This window comes from Homo sapiens, chromosome 12 (genome assembly GCF_000001405.40).
Source record: "Homo sapiens chromosome 12, GRCh38.p14 Primary Assembly".
Classification (NCBI taxonomy): Eukaryota; Metazoa; Chordata; class Mammalia; order Primates; family Hominidae; genus Homo; species Homo sapiens.
The window spans coordinates 33633726-33650878 of NC_000012.12; the positions used below are offsets into that span (position 1 = coordinate 33633726).

Below are 17153 nucleotides of genomic sequence, written 5' to 3' on the forward strand. Positions count from 1 at the left end.
ATTTATAGCTATAATTATTTTCTACATTTCTTGCTTTAGTTTTACAATCTCTCAATACATTTAGAAATGGTGTAGATAGCATTTATAATTTCTCACACTCCTGAAATTCTATGATTACCAGTTAGCTAGCGATAGTAGAACAAATGTTCTTACAGATAGCAGCTATTGCTACAGTTTTTGCAAGGCTCATGGTTTTGCTATGTTTTGGTAGTAGTGTGGCTTTATTGCTGCTGCTGATTCTCCAATTAAACAGGGCAATCACCTGAAAGCCCTGTTAAATGCCTTGCCTTTTCCAAAGGAATTAACTATCAGTAAAGTGAAGAAACACCCCCCAAAAAAAGACTCTAGAAGCAAAGTGTAATGCTTGATCAAATTATAATACTACCCAGGCTGTTTTTAACACACTCCTAGACTAACAAGTCTAAAAATCAGAGCCATAACTAATTTCTGACTTTTGGCATCAGGTCTTTTAGTCAACTCTAGCCTCAAGCACCTGATTCTAAAGAAACAAGTTAGGAAATATAGGATTTGCTTCACTCAGTCTCTAACGTTGCCAAGATGTCTGTTTAGTCCACCCCGGGATGCTCAAATAGGAAAACTTCAAACACATAACAGATGACTCCTGTGATGCCTCATCTGTCAAATGCACAATCCTGGCAAAACTGCAAAGGTGAAACGTGTACATGAGTTAAACTTTTAGGCTCTTTTGAAGAACAACAAATGGATTTTCTTTATTTACCCCTCGTGTGTTTTTGGATATATTAATATTGTCTGCCTGGTTTTGGTTGGCTAGAAGCCTTTTCTTGATGTAAAGCAGCAAAAAAGCTTTTAGACTTTGTACTTCTCAATTGAGGAACCCTAAACTCTTTGCCTACTGATACAGGTATACATTTTGCTAGGGAAGTAATTTAGGAACTATGTGAAACTCTGCATGTCACCAAGAAACTTCACTGCCCCTACCACTTCCTGAACGAAAATAGAATAAATGAATGGCATTTTAAAACTGAAACTTGAAAATGTCTCTAAGAAATTTCAGTCATCATGACTAAAGTATTTTCCCTTAGCTATAGGTCGATGCTGACAGAAATGTACAGCCATCTGGCGATTTCACCACTAATCCCTCACTCTCCCACTTTTGTAGGTATACATGGTCAAATAGTATATAGGCTTAATTTAAGATGCTCAGTCTATTATCAGCTATCTTTTCCCTGGGACAAACTGTAGGAATGACTGCATAACTTTCAGCTAGGTATCTGGTTTACTGGAATTGACACCATTAAAAGTTGCTCTTGAATCTCATTAGAAGATACTTTATCAGTCATTGTTAAACACACACAGTGCAGTAAAACTCTAGGGAATCAACCCTTTTCTTCACATTTTCTTGCTAAAAGGACAGTATATAACCACTTCCTGGACTTCCATGATAATGGAAGATCTTAAACTGGGACTATCTCAAGATTGTCCAAAAGCAGCCAGCATCAGAACATAGACATCTTTCCAAAGAACCTCGGATCAAGCAACAGATTACTAAACATGGATAGATTCCATCCAAGACCAAAAGGTCAAGATTCTCAAATGCCTGGAATCACTGAGCAACACTCCCTTCTTAGTTGCTTTTACCCTCTTGGAGTTTTCCTCCTTCTGTTTCTGATTACTACAAGGAGATTCTTAAAATTTTTCCCCCTCTTATTCTGATTACTAAAATGAGATTCTTAAAATTCAGAACATCTTATTATTCTGTCAAAGTCAGGAGTAGAGCCGGGCGCGGTGGCTCACGCCTGTAATCTCAGCACTTTGGGAGGCTGAGGCAGGCAGATCACGAGGTCAGGAGATCGAGACCATCCTGGCTAACACGGAGAAACCCCGTCTCTACTAAAAATACAAAAAATTAGCCAGGCACGGTGGTGGGCACCTGTAGTCCCAGCTACTCGGGATGCTGAGGCAGGAGAATGGTGTGAACCCGGGAGGTGGAGCTTGCAGTGATCCGAGATTGTGCCACTGCACTCCAGCCTGGGCGACAGAACGAGACTCCATCTCAAAAAAAAAAAAAAAGTCAGGAGTAGAAAAAAATTATACAAACCTATTGATATCAAAGCACCTCTCTTCTCCACAAACTCTAGGTGGGATGAGATTTATTATCCTGGCTGATCCCACAGGAAGCAGGACTTGGCTGAGAGATACCATCCAAGGCTTCCTTTGATCACTTTTGTTTCAACATTTGTTTGCTATATTATGTCCAGAATTTTAAATATTCCATGTAAGTACTCATTTGACAAAAGACTGAAATTCAACTGCAGGTTGGGTGTCGTGGCTCACGCCTGTAATCCCAGCACTTTGGGAGGCCAAGGTGGGAGGATCATGTGAGCCCAGGAGTTCGAGACCAGCCTGGGCAACTTGGTGAGGCCATCTCTACAAAACATAATAATTAAAAAAAATAGCCAGATGTGGTGTCATGCACCTGGGTCCTCACTACTTGGGAGGCTGAGATAGGAGGATCACTTGAGTGTTGGAGGTTGAGGCTGCAGCAATGAGCTAGAATCACACCTCTGATTTCTAGCCACAAGACTCTGTCTCAAAAACAAACAAACAAACAAAAAAACCAATGACGAAGACAAAAGTTATAAGAAATACTTTTGGAAGTCACCAAGGAGTCTGGGATTATAACTGACAGACTGTTATAGATCTGACAGATTGTACGAAGTTATAGTCAAGCAATGAAACTCGGTCTCCTCCTTGACCAAAAGATTATGGGAGACCTTGAAGGACTGAAAATTTTTGCTGTGACGCTCACATGTCATTGGATCGTGCATCTATTTCTCTCCTACACCACTTGATAAACAAATTGCCCAGCCATCTCTTTATTAAACTACAAAAACCATTTCACTATTTTCCAATTACTTTTTTGACTGCTATTGCAGAAACAGATGAACAACTAACCCCTATTACCGAAGGTCTATAAAAAAAGCATCCCTTCTTCCTTAAGACACCACACTCCTTTGGGGCATTCTTGTGTTTCAGAATTCTAAAGAAAAGCTTATGTTTAACTGTATTCTGGTTATTTTTTTCCCACAGTGTGATTAAAACTGTTTATTTCGGCCGGGTACGGAGGCTCACGCCTGTAATCCCAGCACTTTGGAAGGCCGAAGCGGGCGGATTACGAGGTTAGGACATAGAGACCATCCTGGCTAACACGATGAAACCCCGTCTCTACTAAAAATACAAAAACTTAGCCGGGTGTGGTGGTAGGCACCTGTAGTCCCAGCTACTCGGGGGGCTGAGGCAGGAGAATGGCGTGAACCCGGGAGATGGAGCTTGCAGTGAGCAGAGATCATGCCACTGCACTCAAGCCTGGGCGACAGAGCAAGACTCTGTCTCAAAAATAAATATATAAATAAATAAATAAATAAATAAATAAATAAATACTGGTTATTTCAATTTGGAAATTTTTAAAGTTTTCTTTTCTCATTGAACATTTTATATTAGCATTTTTTTTCTGTAATCAGTATTTGTTGCTAAGATCTTCAAAACAAATGAAAAAAATATTGGAAATTACCCAGAAATTTAGCCCAAGAAATAACTATCCGAGTGATTGACTATTATAAAAAATTATTTGATCTATTTTCACAGATTAAAATCATCGAATAAATGTCAACTCTCCTATTCAGTTTTTTTTTTTTTTTTTTTTTTTTTTAGTTTTAAGGAGCAGGGAGTTTAATAGGCAAGAAAGAAGGGGGAAGAAAGAAAGAAGAAGCTCCCCCGTACAGAGACAGAGGGAGGGTTGCTCCAAAGCCGAGAGACAGAACCCCTCCTATTCAGTTTTAATATGGGAGAAAGGCTATTGAGGTTAGGCTCTTTAGAGATGAACAAACGTGGGTTACAAACCAAACTCCTCCATGATCTATTTGTGATCTTGGACATGATCTTTAATTCTTTGAGATGGAATTTTGTTGCCAATGAAACTTGTATCCAGAAAGAAAGATGACTTACTTAAATCCATAAACATAGATAATGTGATAATTCAGTTTCTTAATTCCTGCTATTTACTTCCCTACCTCATGGCCTCCTACACCTGGCATCCAGTCTGCCAATGATCAAAAGATAGGCAGTTAAATAATTATTTACATATAAACGTCTTTAGGTATTACATGTTATAATCTAATCTAAATCTACTCCCTTGTCAGAGGCTATTAACACATAATTTTCACTTCTTCAACAAATATTTATTGAGAGGTCACTGTTCTAGGCACTAGGAAAGCACCAGTGAACAAGAGAGGATAAAGTCCCCGCTCTTGCGAACACCAGGATCTATGGGGATGATGGCAAAATGAATGTGTCCAATAGTATGAAGGGGAGGATGGAGAAATGAATGTGTCCAACAGTATTAAGTGCTAAATAAATAAATACACAACACAGGGTAAAGGTATAGAGGGAGATGGAGGTGTTGTTATAGACATGGTAGTCAAAGAAGTCCTCATGGAGAAGGTACCATTTGAGCAAGCCCCCAGTGAAGTCAGGGAGGGAGCTTGTGACTATCAAGAGGAACCATGCTCCAGGAAGAGGTAAGAGCAGTATGACAGCCCATGAGGAAGGCTGCTGGGTGTATTTGAGGAAAGTAAGCTGAGCCCAGTGTGTAGGGGAAGAGAGGGAGGAAATGGGGTCAGAGAGGTTGCAAGGGGACGTATCAAGTAGGACTTTATAGATCAAGGTAAGACATTTAGATGCAATTAATCTAAGAATGCAATTAAGCCTGGAAAAATAAAACGCTATTAAAAAATTAAGAGTCAAATGTGTGGTTTTCTAGAGTGGGGTAGTGTGATGGTGGCTACCATTTACAATGTGTTATTGAATTAATCTTAATAATGATATTTTTATTATCTTATTTAAATAAGCCCTTATTTTAATAGATGTTGCATATATTCATGTCCTAAGAATGATGTGGATTGCAGAAATAAAAAGTCATTAAAATTCAGTTAATTTTGGTTATCTGAAGACAAACAAAAGTTATTAAAATTAGATCCAGCTTAAATGTACAATTATCTTGTTCAAAATGGAATTTTTTTCAAGAAAGTGATGAGAAATGATATTTGAGAAAGTCTAAAATATTAAGTGATAAAGTAGAAACAGATTTTTCTTCTTATTCCTGTTCCTATTCCTACTTACTAAATCCTTAGCCACATTATTTAACCTCTCTAAGCCTGAATTTCCTCATCTTCAATATGGTGATAATAATACCTTTGCTAGGGCTCAAATGTGATACCCCAAAGAATGGCACCTTGGCATGCTGAGTACTTTGATCTAAAGAAAATGGAAAAAGCCTCACAAACAAGGTCGTTCTGACCTTCTCTCATCTTCTTGTCTCTTGCTCCTCTTTCTCCCCTAAAGTTAATGATAGAAACCAGAATTCCCCTTCCCCAAGGCAGGGCATAGAAACTAGAACCCCTCTCCCCCAAAGCAAGTCATAAAACCTAGAAAGGTCACTCTGTCTCTTCTCCCATGAAGACCCTCATTCTAAAGGAATCCTGCCCCATATCTGGGAAAAAGGAATGCTATACCTAGAGGTCAAGAAGAATTCAAACAGAGAGGCCTTGCTGGGTACCCCCTTGTTTATTATCATTAGATCAGACCTTTTGGTCCAATCCATTTCTGCATGGCTGTCCATTCTTCATCAAACCTAAGCATGAAAATAGACAGCGTTACCTGGGTTTTTAGATTTTCATTGCTGAAGTTTCCTGTGTCATGCAAAATTTTGATTAAGTAAATTTGTTATGCTATTTTTTTGTTCACCTGTCTTTTCCTATAGGAGTGTTAGCCATGACACTCATGATGGGTGAGGAAAGGTATCACACATTTCCACCCCACACCTTCTTCAGGAAATTGACCAGAGTCATCAAAATAATACTTGTGAGATGTTTGGAATAATACCTGACATAGTAAATGCTAAGTAACTGTTACTTTTTTTTCCTCCTTATATGGACTTCAAACTTTGTACATGAAATCATAGTCATGGTCCTTTCACTTTGCTCTGAAAGTAGATGAACTAAATGACATAAATCCTCTAAAGAAAGTATACAGCCCATGCAATTTAAATCATTTGGTAAAACTTCTGCTTTATTAAATAATGAAGTAATGAGCAGTGAAATAACTCATATATATCATTATTTGCTAAGTTAATTTCCTGGGGATTTTGTTAGTTTGAAAGATATATAACCTCTGTAGGATAAGGCACGATGAATGCATTAAAAATACTTGCACAAAGTATAAAACGTGTTATTGAAATATATCGATTTTAGCTAAGATACATATCACTTTCTTTTGCACAGAACATCCTCACTAACATTATATTATTTAATTCTCAATTCCTTGGGAGTAAATAAGGATAAACCCCATGAAGACATAGGGAAGTTAGGGGTTAGTAATTACTCCAGATGGCAGTTGGTGAGTAAGCATTGAAATCTGAATCTGTGCCAAGTTTTATAGAAACACAGTCCATATAAGTTTATACAAATATACAGAATTTTAAAAGATGAAACAGCAGTCATATAGAAAGCCCAAATCTACTTAAGAGAAATGATAAATTACAAGTGTAAATCAGCCTTTGAAAGGTAAGAAAAAAAGAGTGATCTTGCTTACCAAAACTTTCCAAGATTTTATGCAACAGGGATTTAGAGTGCCTATTATATGCAATGACTTCTTAGATGTTTACATTAGTTAATAATCATGGAAAGTTTTGTAAAGCTTTTCTGATTTTGAATGAATGTTTTTTGAGTAAATATTTTACTCTATTTCTTACTATTACCAGCTACATTTATCTGTTCTCCATAGTGCCTGGCACAAAGTTTCAATAAACGTGTTGTATATTTTTAAGTGAAAGTTTAAGGAGTAGGATTTTCAAGTAATTATACTTCTAAAAGTCAGAATATCCAAGAATGAATAGGTTATAAATTTATCTTCATTTCTTTTATAAATAAAAATAACATTAAAAAAGATTTATTTCTTTATATCAAGAAAAAATACAATGTTAATTTTTAAAATTGATTCTTTTGAGAAATGTAGATCTCTTCCTTTCAAGGATGTTTTCAAAAGGAAGCTGTGTGGTTTTCCCATTCAGTAACTAAGTGAACATAAGAAAGAAAAAAGAATAAACATCATGAAAGAGCTATCATTTGAGGAAATAACTTGCTCAAGTCCATTGAATTGCAATGAAGTTATGCTATTACATTCTCTTCCTCTTTGGGTTAATGGCAGTTGTGGAAGTTGAATATCAGGCTTTAAGAGCTGGGTCACTGTAATTCATTTATTAAAACATTTTTCATTTTGTGACTATCCAGGTTTTAAAAAACCATTGTTCAAAGAACGTAACTTAGTGGCCTTATTTTTCCTTTATTATTTTTCTCTTCTACTTCAAAATGATTTGTTAATTCAGAAGCTCCCAGAAATTTTGATGAGAGGAATGACCCAAGTCAGAGTAGCAATTTTGAAAACCTGCAGTCCTAATGGACCGGAGTAAACCAAAAGTCTTCTATCTCTGCCCTCCGAGCAAATCTCCCAGGAGCTTAATTTGACTCAGTGAAGGTCATACCATTTTAGGCCGTCTCTCATAGCCTTTATGACTCCACAATATGTAGTTAAAAAATTAGTCTGTCTTTTCTGCGTTCACTTATCTGCTTCTAGGAGAAGGAGGACTTTTTTCTTGTGTCTTCCATCAGATAGGTGTGTTCAATATACTTGATTTGTTGAGACTTTATGCTTAAAGTGAAAAGTGCCACTGTATATCAAATCAAAATATGATGGTACGCAATTTAATAATCATTTGATTCAGTTCATCTTATATGTGTACCTTTATGAGTTGTATTTAGTCTTTTTTTAGTAGCGATTTACATATATGTTGAAATATTTTCCATTTAAAAGTTTATTTTCCAAATTCGAATAATCTGGATTCTACTAATTATACTTTTTAAAAAAGATTTTTATTGGTTGAATATTTTTCATTTGTCACACTTTAAGTATTCACATTAATGAATATTTGTAAAGGTCTTACCTTATTTAACTGTCTCTCAAAGCTTATGGTATAATTTTTCTAATAACTGATATTAAAAATTAATACCAGATATTATAGAAATATACAGGAATATAAAATGGAAGAAAAGATCAACATCTTTCTATATAACAGTCATTTGACTTTTATTAATTGAAGATCAATTGTGAGCAAGACACTAATAAACACATAAATAAATGTGCTTGGACATTTTACATACGTGTGCTAAAATTAATGTAATAATTGTAATAATAACTAGAGATCTTTTATTCAAGCATAGTACTATGCTTTTTCTCTATATTTCATTGTAATCGCTATATCAATTGTTCTGTTGAGAATTTGAACTATCACTGCTCCCTTAATAACATGGGCCAGCCCTGGGAGGAAGTAATAAGGGAAATTCTTCATAGTAGCAAAGAATAGATAGATGTCATTTACTTAGATTTTTGCCCCAGGTACAAATGTTTTCCTGGTTCTTTTTTTCCATTGTTTTAGATAGATAATCTGTCCCTTTTCTTGTAAATCCAGATAGACCTTGATTTTGAAAAGATTCGTAGTTGCTTTAGTTTACTTCTTATTTAAAAAAGAATAAAGGAAGTGGTAGCTGGTATTTACCTTCATTCAAGCATCCTCTTTCAAAAGTTAACTTCTCAGCATGAAAAGTTCCTCAATATTCTTGAAAAAAGTATTTAATCAAATTAATGTTACCAGAACTTTCTGGGCTTGAGCATTGACACATATTTAATACTATTTTTTTGAAGGAGGTTAGCAAAGGTATAGAAATGCCATAGGCGCTTTGCAAGTTTCTAACAGAATTCAGTCTGTTCAAACTGGGTAAAGCTTGGTATGTCATGTGAAATTTCACTTGGATAAGCTGAGTGAAGATGGTGCCAAAAAGGTAGTCAAAGATGAAGCAAATTAATGTTTGTTTTTCATATGTGTTTTTTCTGGCATCTTGTATCCTTAGGATGGTTGTTTATGGCATTCATAAATTAACATGTTTTATAGCCTACTAAGTTATGGGCATGTTTTAGATACATTTGTGTCTTCTCTCCCTACCCCATTTTTTGGTTTGTTTTACTTTATCAGGATGTCTAGGAATTTATTAATTTTATTTTTCCACAAAACTAGTTTTGTTTTATTGACTTTTATTATCTGTTAATTTTCTATTTCATTAGTTTCTACACTTAACTTGATTATTTTGTTTCTATTTTTTACACTAGGTTTAGTTCACACTTCTTTTTTTAGTATCAAATTGTGGAAACTTGATTACTAATTCGAGAGCACTTTTTTCCTAATATAAGCTTTGAATGCTATAAATTTCCTTCTAAGCTCTGTTTTGGCAACTTCCTACAAAATTTGATACCTCATGTTTCCGTGTTCATTCAGTTTAAAATATTTAACTTGTATTTTCTCTTTTAATCTATGAGTTATTTAGAATATGATGCTTATTGTCAAATATTTTTCATATTTTCTAGATATCTTTCTGATATTGATTTATAGTTTAATATCATTGTGGTCAGAAAAAATATTTTGTATGAGTGCAATTCTTTTAAATTTATTGAGTCTTGTTGAATGTGGTGTATCTTGGTGATTTTTCAATGTGCACTAAAAAGAATATGTATTTTGCTGGGGTTGGTCCTAGAGTTTTCTATATTAGGTTAAGTTGGCTAGTAATGTGGTTCAAGTCTTCTTTATCCTTCTTTGTCCTATCAGTTACTGAGAGAAGAATTGTGAAATCTCAAATTGTGACTGTGAGTTTGTCTATTTCTTCATTTAGACAAAGTTACCCAATGTGATATCAAAGGATAAAGTAAAAAGATGCTAAAATCAGGGAGTACTTACTTCCATAAATTAGAGGAGTGGTGGAGAATTGTATCTGCAATGGGAAAAGGTGCAGAGTAAGTGTTATCAGTGTGTGTAATCCCTAGAGACTTAATATCTGCCAACTTTAGGTGATGAAAAATATTTTAAGAAAAATATAGGCAATGATTTTCAGAAGGATTTCCAAAGAGCAGCTGATATTTATTAGATAATTTAAAAATATAGGTGTGTTTGACCAGGAATTTATCTGTTATTGTAGCCTATCAACATTATTATAAATGTAGAAAGGCCTTATAACAATTAATTCACATTATCTTGATTTTTGATAGGGAATATTTTTGCAAAACCTAATAGCCAGTAATAAGGAAATGCTATGTAAACTATGGTACACTGACTCAGTGGAATTTCAAACCATTAAGAATGAAGTTCATTGAGACTATGATAACAAAAGCATACTTAATATACAATGGAAGGTGGGGAAATTCTCCTGAAAACAGATACTTCTGGCTGTTTTATATTTTAATAATTATTCAAAGTAAGGATGATGAATCAAACTGTTAAAAATGAGTATTCCAAGATATGAACCACTTCTAAAAAGGAATCAAGTATACTCATTTTCTAATTATAAAACTGATTACACACACAATGAGAAAATGTGAAATGAAATATTATTTGATTGGGTTACTGGCACATCTTTAGCTAAGGAGTCAGAGTTATAAAGACACACTAAACCTGGTACATTTGACATTATAAAGATGAAAAATAAGCTGATGCATAGTAGCCAGAGGGAAAAAATGGAAGCAGAGAACCCAATCAGGAGTTCATCTAGCCTGAATGAGTATTGAGTGGAGAACAAAGTGCTGGCAAAGGTAAACCACGTTGTTTACTTCGGCTGTCAATCAGGAGACACAGGAACAACGTAAGCCATAGTCTACAAGCAAGAAATGATTGTTCTCTGCCTTCTTCTGCTCCAAAGTAAAGGTTCACATTGTCCTACTGGTTTGCAAAAGACACAAGTTTCGAAGTCTGACTGACTTTTATTTGTATTCCAACTCTGCCACTCAAAAACTATATGATCTTAGGCATGTTGAGGAGCTTCTCTGAGCTTATTTCCTCATCTACAAAATAATTCCGAAAATGTTTACTGTAGGATTGTTATCAAGATAAAATGATGCCATTTGTGTCAAAGGTTGTAGCACATACCAAATAGCCAATGAAAGTGACTTTTCTTTCATTTTTGAACTAAAATTCATCATTATAACATTTTTTCAATTTAAATTATGTAATGAACAAAATAATAGTTTTCAAACTAATGATTTTTAGTTAATTTGAGACTATGGATAAGGTAAGCCAATAAAAAAACCAATGTATTATTTAAAACTACTATTAAATAATAATAAACTAATAAAAAGCCATGACAGTGAGTCTGACTGGAAATAATGTTTTGTGTTTTGGTCACGATTTGATAACACAAACAAAATCAGCTCAGAGATAGGTGGCTATGTTCTTCTAATCTCCACTGTGGAAACAATTTGATTTTAGTTGCATTAATGAGTGGGAATGGAAAGCATAATTTCAGATCCCAACGTTTGGCACACAACATTCTGTTGATCATTTTGTGAGATGTTGTTCTAATTGACAGATTCCCAGACTATCAGAGCCAAAGCAAAGATATGCAGTCACAATTTTAGGTGGAAAAATTATCTGTTATCTCTGAGGACATGTGCTATTCGTGCACATGAAAGGAGGTTGGTCGAAATCCTAATTTGAATTGAAAGGACAATTATGTCTATATCTGCCAGAATCCTCCTTTAAAAATGAAAATTAAACATCTGTTCAGATTTTTTAGTAGCAATTTCATAAAACTGCTTTTAAATGGATACTGATTACAAAGAAACTAACCAATTACTTAGTTTCTTTGAAAAAATAAGGGATAAAATTAAATTGCTGTATATAAAATATGTAAAGGTATATATGAATATTTATTTGTATATATGTGTGTGTACATAAAAGTATTTATTCTTCATGTTATTGAAATGCAAACATATTCCTTACATAAGAATGAAAGAAAGGACTTTATCTTACAATAGCAGTAAAATATATAGGATGAAAGTAATTTGTTGTATGTAAAATATTCAAGCAAAGGTGTATTATGAATATATATTTGTATATGTGTGTACATAAAAGTATTTGTTCTTCATGTTATTGAAATGTGAACATATTCCTTACATGGGAATAGGAGAAAAGACTTTATCTTGTAAAAATGTATGAAGTAGGATCATGTATCTCCTACTTCTGGAGACTTTGATGATTTAGACAGAAAAATAAGGTTTATTGAGTGATCAAACCACTGATACTGGTCTATATAATTAAAATGAGTTTTGCAGTAGGACTTCCCATTCAAATCATGATTGAGTGACTGTCATTGAACTAACAAAATTTATAAAACATTTGTTTCCTGTCATTAGACAGAAACCAATTCAAAGTTATAATTTATGAAAAACAGTCTGCAAAAAGATGAGCTCTATGTTCATTCTGGTTTTCTTTCTGAGGATATTTTCCAAATTGTAGCATATTGAAATAAAGTCCAAATAGAAAACAAAGATCTTGCTGAATGTAGTCAACAGAAATTGGAGTTCTGAGATAGTAACAAACGTCTTTGGATGCCTTTTATTCTGTAGGTGCACAGGTCAAGACTCCAGGCAGCCTAGATGATGTTGGAAAGCTGAAGTGAGATGTAAGATCCTGCACAATGCTATGAAAATATCAGAGTAAAAATTTAGTTTGAGGGTTATATCTTGGTAAATATCCTAGGGTTTTAGTTGAGATCACAGAAAGATCAAATAAAATATGCCCACCATAAAAATCAAGCTTCAAAACAATCGAGGTAATTCATACCTTTGTATGAAATATCAACAGGCTTACAGCAAACTTTTAAATGGCAATGATGACAGGCAGAAAACAATAGAATAGCATTTTGAAACTGCTAAAAGAAAACCTGCCCACCTGCCATCCAAGAAGTCCATATCCAGTGAAGGTATTTTTCAAATATGAAGGTAAGAAAACAATCTCTTTACACCAAAAACAAAACAAAACACACAGCGCAAAACAACCTTCTGATTCCTCTGATTTAATTCAATACAAGCAATCAGCACTAAAAGAAACACTAAATTTCTTTACGCTGAAGCAAAGTAATCTCAGATGGAAACAAAAAACTGCAGAAAGAAATGAAAGCACAAAAAAAGATAAATATAAAATAATACCTAATATTTAAAACAATAACATGTAGGCTTTATGTAACATGTATAAGAATAATATATATGAAAATACCGTAAGGAGTGGAATATTTAGAGTTAGACTTTAGTAAGCATTTTGAATTCTTTGGGAAATGGTAAAATTAAAGTAAGAACAAAATCTAAAAATATCAATAAAATTGAAAGATGTTCAGTGGCCTCATTCAACTCAAATCGCTTTTGTTTTCCTTTCTGAGTCAATATTTTAAAAATATTTAGATAAGCCTAATTTTGTGGCCATTTCAGAAATCAGTTAGATGAACTATTAGAATAATTTTTCTGCTCCAGCAGAATCTCAAGACCATCTACATTGAGGGTAAAAGAATAGACCAAAACCTCAGTGGTTTTAAAACAATGCAGGAGCTCTGGCAGATCCCAAGATTTAACCTAATGAATTTCAATAATCAATTGAAACACCTAAGTATGAAAAATATGTGATCCATATAAATTATTAAAATTTTTCAGAGTTCTAGTATAACTTATTAATGGGAGAGAATTGCCTATTCTCTTAGATAAGGTATTTAGGTTTGTGGTTTTGTCATTGCAGTTCTCAGAAAAATCATTAATCTAGTAAATATTTTATAACATTCTTGCATTTTATTTGTTATTATATCACAGTGAAAATACTATCATACAAGGTTGTGTAATCAAATGGTACAGCACAGTATCCTCTGAAGATTCAAAATTAGTACATTACTCATACTATAGATTCCATAATCTCTTCATAATTTTATTCTTTTTTAAAATTATACTTTTAAAAAAGTATACATGTGCAGAACGTGAAGGTTTGTTACATAAGTATACACGTGCCATGGTGGTTTGCTGTACCCATCAACCCATCATCTACATTAAGTATTTCTCCTAACACTATCCCTCCCCTAGTCCCCATCCCATGACAGGCTCCAGAGTGTGATGTTCCCCTCCCTGTGTCCATGTGTTCCCGTTGTTCAACTCCCACTTATGAGTGAGAACATGTAGTTTGGTTTTCTGTTCTTGTGTAACGTAACATAATTTTATTCTTAAATGCCTTTTCTTATGTATTATTCTTTTTATGAGAAGTTAAGTTTTACTATAAAGTTCTCAATAGAAAAACAACCTGCTCAACTTCTTTAACTTATTTTTCTTCAGTTTATATAAACAATAGATTAATAAAGTCATTAAATGACTGTGCTCTAAGAACTTAGAAATTCATTTTTCCTCTATAATAGACTAAATAATGACCTTTCAATTATTTAGTTCATGACTGAACTCCAGGAATATGACCTTTATGTAATTGGCTAATTTAGTTCATGCCTAAGAAATATGAATAGAAAAAAATACCAAATTCTCATGCCTATAAAAAACAGGACCAAGATGTATCTATGTTACTTTCCTAACAATATACCACCCTCACTTCACAATCATCTGTTTTTACAATGCTTTAGGAGAGGATGAGTCTCACAATTTTACAAAGATCACCGTTCTTCCTTTAGTCTGTTTAACAAAACTTTTTCAATTATTCATTACTTTAATATAATCACTTTCCTTTCTTTAAAAAGAAAATTATAGCTTATATAATAGAAAATAATAAACATTTTACAGGCATTATGCCACGCTTGCTGTTAACAACCTCATTTTATTTTTATTTATTTACCTTTTTACCTTTCACTTTAGGTTCGGGGTACATGTGCAGGTTTGTTACATAGGAAAACTGTGTATCATGGGGATTTAGTGTACAGATCATTTCATCATCCAGGTAATAAGCATAATACCCAATAGGTAGTTGTTTAAATCTTCTCCCTCATCCCACCCTCTACCCTTACGTAAGCCCTGGTGTCTTCTTTATGTCCATATATTCTTGTTGTTTAGCTCCCATTTTTAAGTGAGAACATGCAGTATTTGGTTTTCTGTTCTTGTGTTAGTTTGCCTAGGATAATGTCCTCCAGCTCCATCCATGTTGCTGCAAAAGGCATGATCTCATTCTTTTTTATGGCTGTGTAGTATTCCATGGTGTATATGTACCACATTTTCTTTCTCCAGTCTACCACTGATTGGCATTTGGGTTTATTTGATCTCTTTGCTATTGTGAATAGTGCTGCAATAAACATGCACATGTACAGATGCATGTGTCTTTATAATAGAATAATTTATATTCCTTTACATATATACTCAATAATGAGACGCTAGATTGAATGGTAATTCTGAATAACCTCATTTTATACATGAGGAAACAGGTTCAGAGAAGTGAAATGACTCTTTCAAGATCACAGAACTAGGGAAAATCAGATCTGGAGATGAGTTTTGTTCTGCCTGTTCTAGAGCCTGAGTTCTCACTATTGTATTATGCTGCCACTCTAATTTTCGAAAGCCAACTACTCAGTAGTAAACTTATGTCAGGTCACTGTGTCTCTTTTTCCCTGGTGCTATGGTCTGAATGTCTGTGTCCCTCCAAAATTTATATATCTAATCTTACTTGTTTTAATATTGAGAGATAGGGTTAGGAGGTTATGAGTCCATGAGGTCAGACTCTCGTGAATGGGATTCATGCCCTCATAAAAGAGGTGCAAGGAAGCTTGCTTGTCATTCCACCATGTGAGGACACACAGAAAGTGCCATCTTGGAAGCAGAGAGTGAGCCCTTATCAGACATCAGATCTCCCAGCGCATTCCTGTTGGACTTTCCAGCCTCTGGAGTGTAAGCAAGACATTTTTATTGTTTATAAATTACTCAGTTTAAGGTATTTTGTTATAGCAGCCCAAACAGACTAAGACATCTGGTATAATTGTCTTGTATATTAGCTGTATTTTAGTCACATTGTGACTTAGTAAATCATTTGCCAGAGGAAAACTGAACATTTATATTACTTAAAAAAATTACCCGCTGGTCATAACTGTTATTATACTCATTCCTGAATAGAAAATCAAGGCAAAAGTACTTAAACCTTCTTAATATATGAAGTTCAGCCACTCATTTCCCAGAGATATTTTAGAATAAAGCCCATGTAGTTCAAAGACAGTGGGTTATGTTTTACAGAACATAAATCCAGGAGAACTACCAGCAAACTGATCATGATCCTTTCATTGTCACAAGATACAAAATAAGTATAAATTGAGTAGTAAGGGACTTTCACCCCAACAGAAACTAAGATTCCTATTCTTAGTTGTTTTAAAGCAATTTTCTTCAAAAAAGTCCCTCAGCTGTTATTCCAATATAATTTGATAAAAAAGGCAAGCTCAGGGCCTTCCCGTTTTCAAAGCAGCTGTGGCAACAGGTGCTCAAGATTCTTCATTAACCTTTGCTAAACTCAAAGCCATTGTTATTCAAAATGTAGCCTGTGTGTACTAACAGCTGGCAACACATGGGAGCTTGTTACAGATGCAAATATCTGTCCCCATCCCACTTATTTGGAAGCAGAATATGCGTTTATTTTTAAAAAACCCAGACTATTGATATGCACCGTAAAGGTTGAGAAGCACAGCGTGCAGTCTTTGATTTCAATTTGCTCTCCACCCAGGGATAAATTTTAATCTATTTAAATTTAAATTTATTAGAGGAGCTATGACCTGATTTTTAAAATTAAATTATTAAAAATTTTCTACTCTGGTTGAAGATATAGAAAGGCTGAAGAGGCATGGTTTCCATTCTAAGAGAATTATTTTAAAACTAGCATTTGCCACTGGAAGATATGTGATCATCGTGTCAGTAACATTAGAAGAGTATTAGAACACACTGAAAATATTCTTTTTCTTCTACCAAATTTAAAGTCATCTAAACTATTTGTGTTCATCTTGCAGAAATAATTACAGTGCTTACATTTCATTATGTTCATATATAACTAAGGATCATTTTCCATTCTGTGAGTGATTCACTGGGAAAGAAATCAACTTTCTTATGCCCTTGAAAGGAAAAGATACTTACATTAATCTATTTTAGATTTTTTTAAGAGCATGGAGTCCTTATCTCCATAGCAAAGTTTTTAGGTTTAGCATTTCCCAAAAGTGGAAAGTAAAAAAATAAAAATA

The 17153-nt window shown here is 34.1% G+C and overlaps 1 annotated feature.

The window, feature by feature from the left end:
• Positions 16169-16768: an enhancer, noted in NCBI's record as "OCT4-NANOG hESC enhancer chr12:33802829-33803428 (GRCh37/hg19 assembly coordinates)". NCBI's record gives its function as "activates a minimal SCP1, AML or CMV promoter by ChIP-STARR-seq in primed H9 embryonic stem cells {active_cell/tissue: H9 hESC(primed)}" and the evidence as "EXISTENCE:reporter gene assay evidence [ECO:0000049][PMID:30033119]".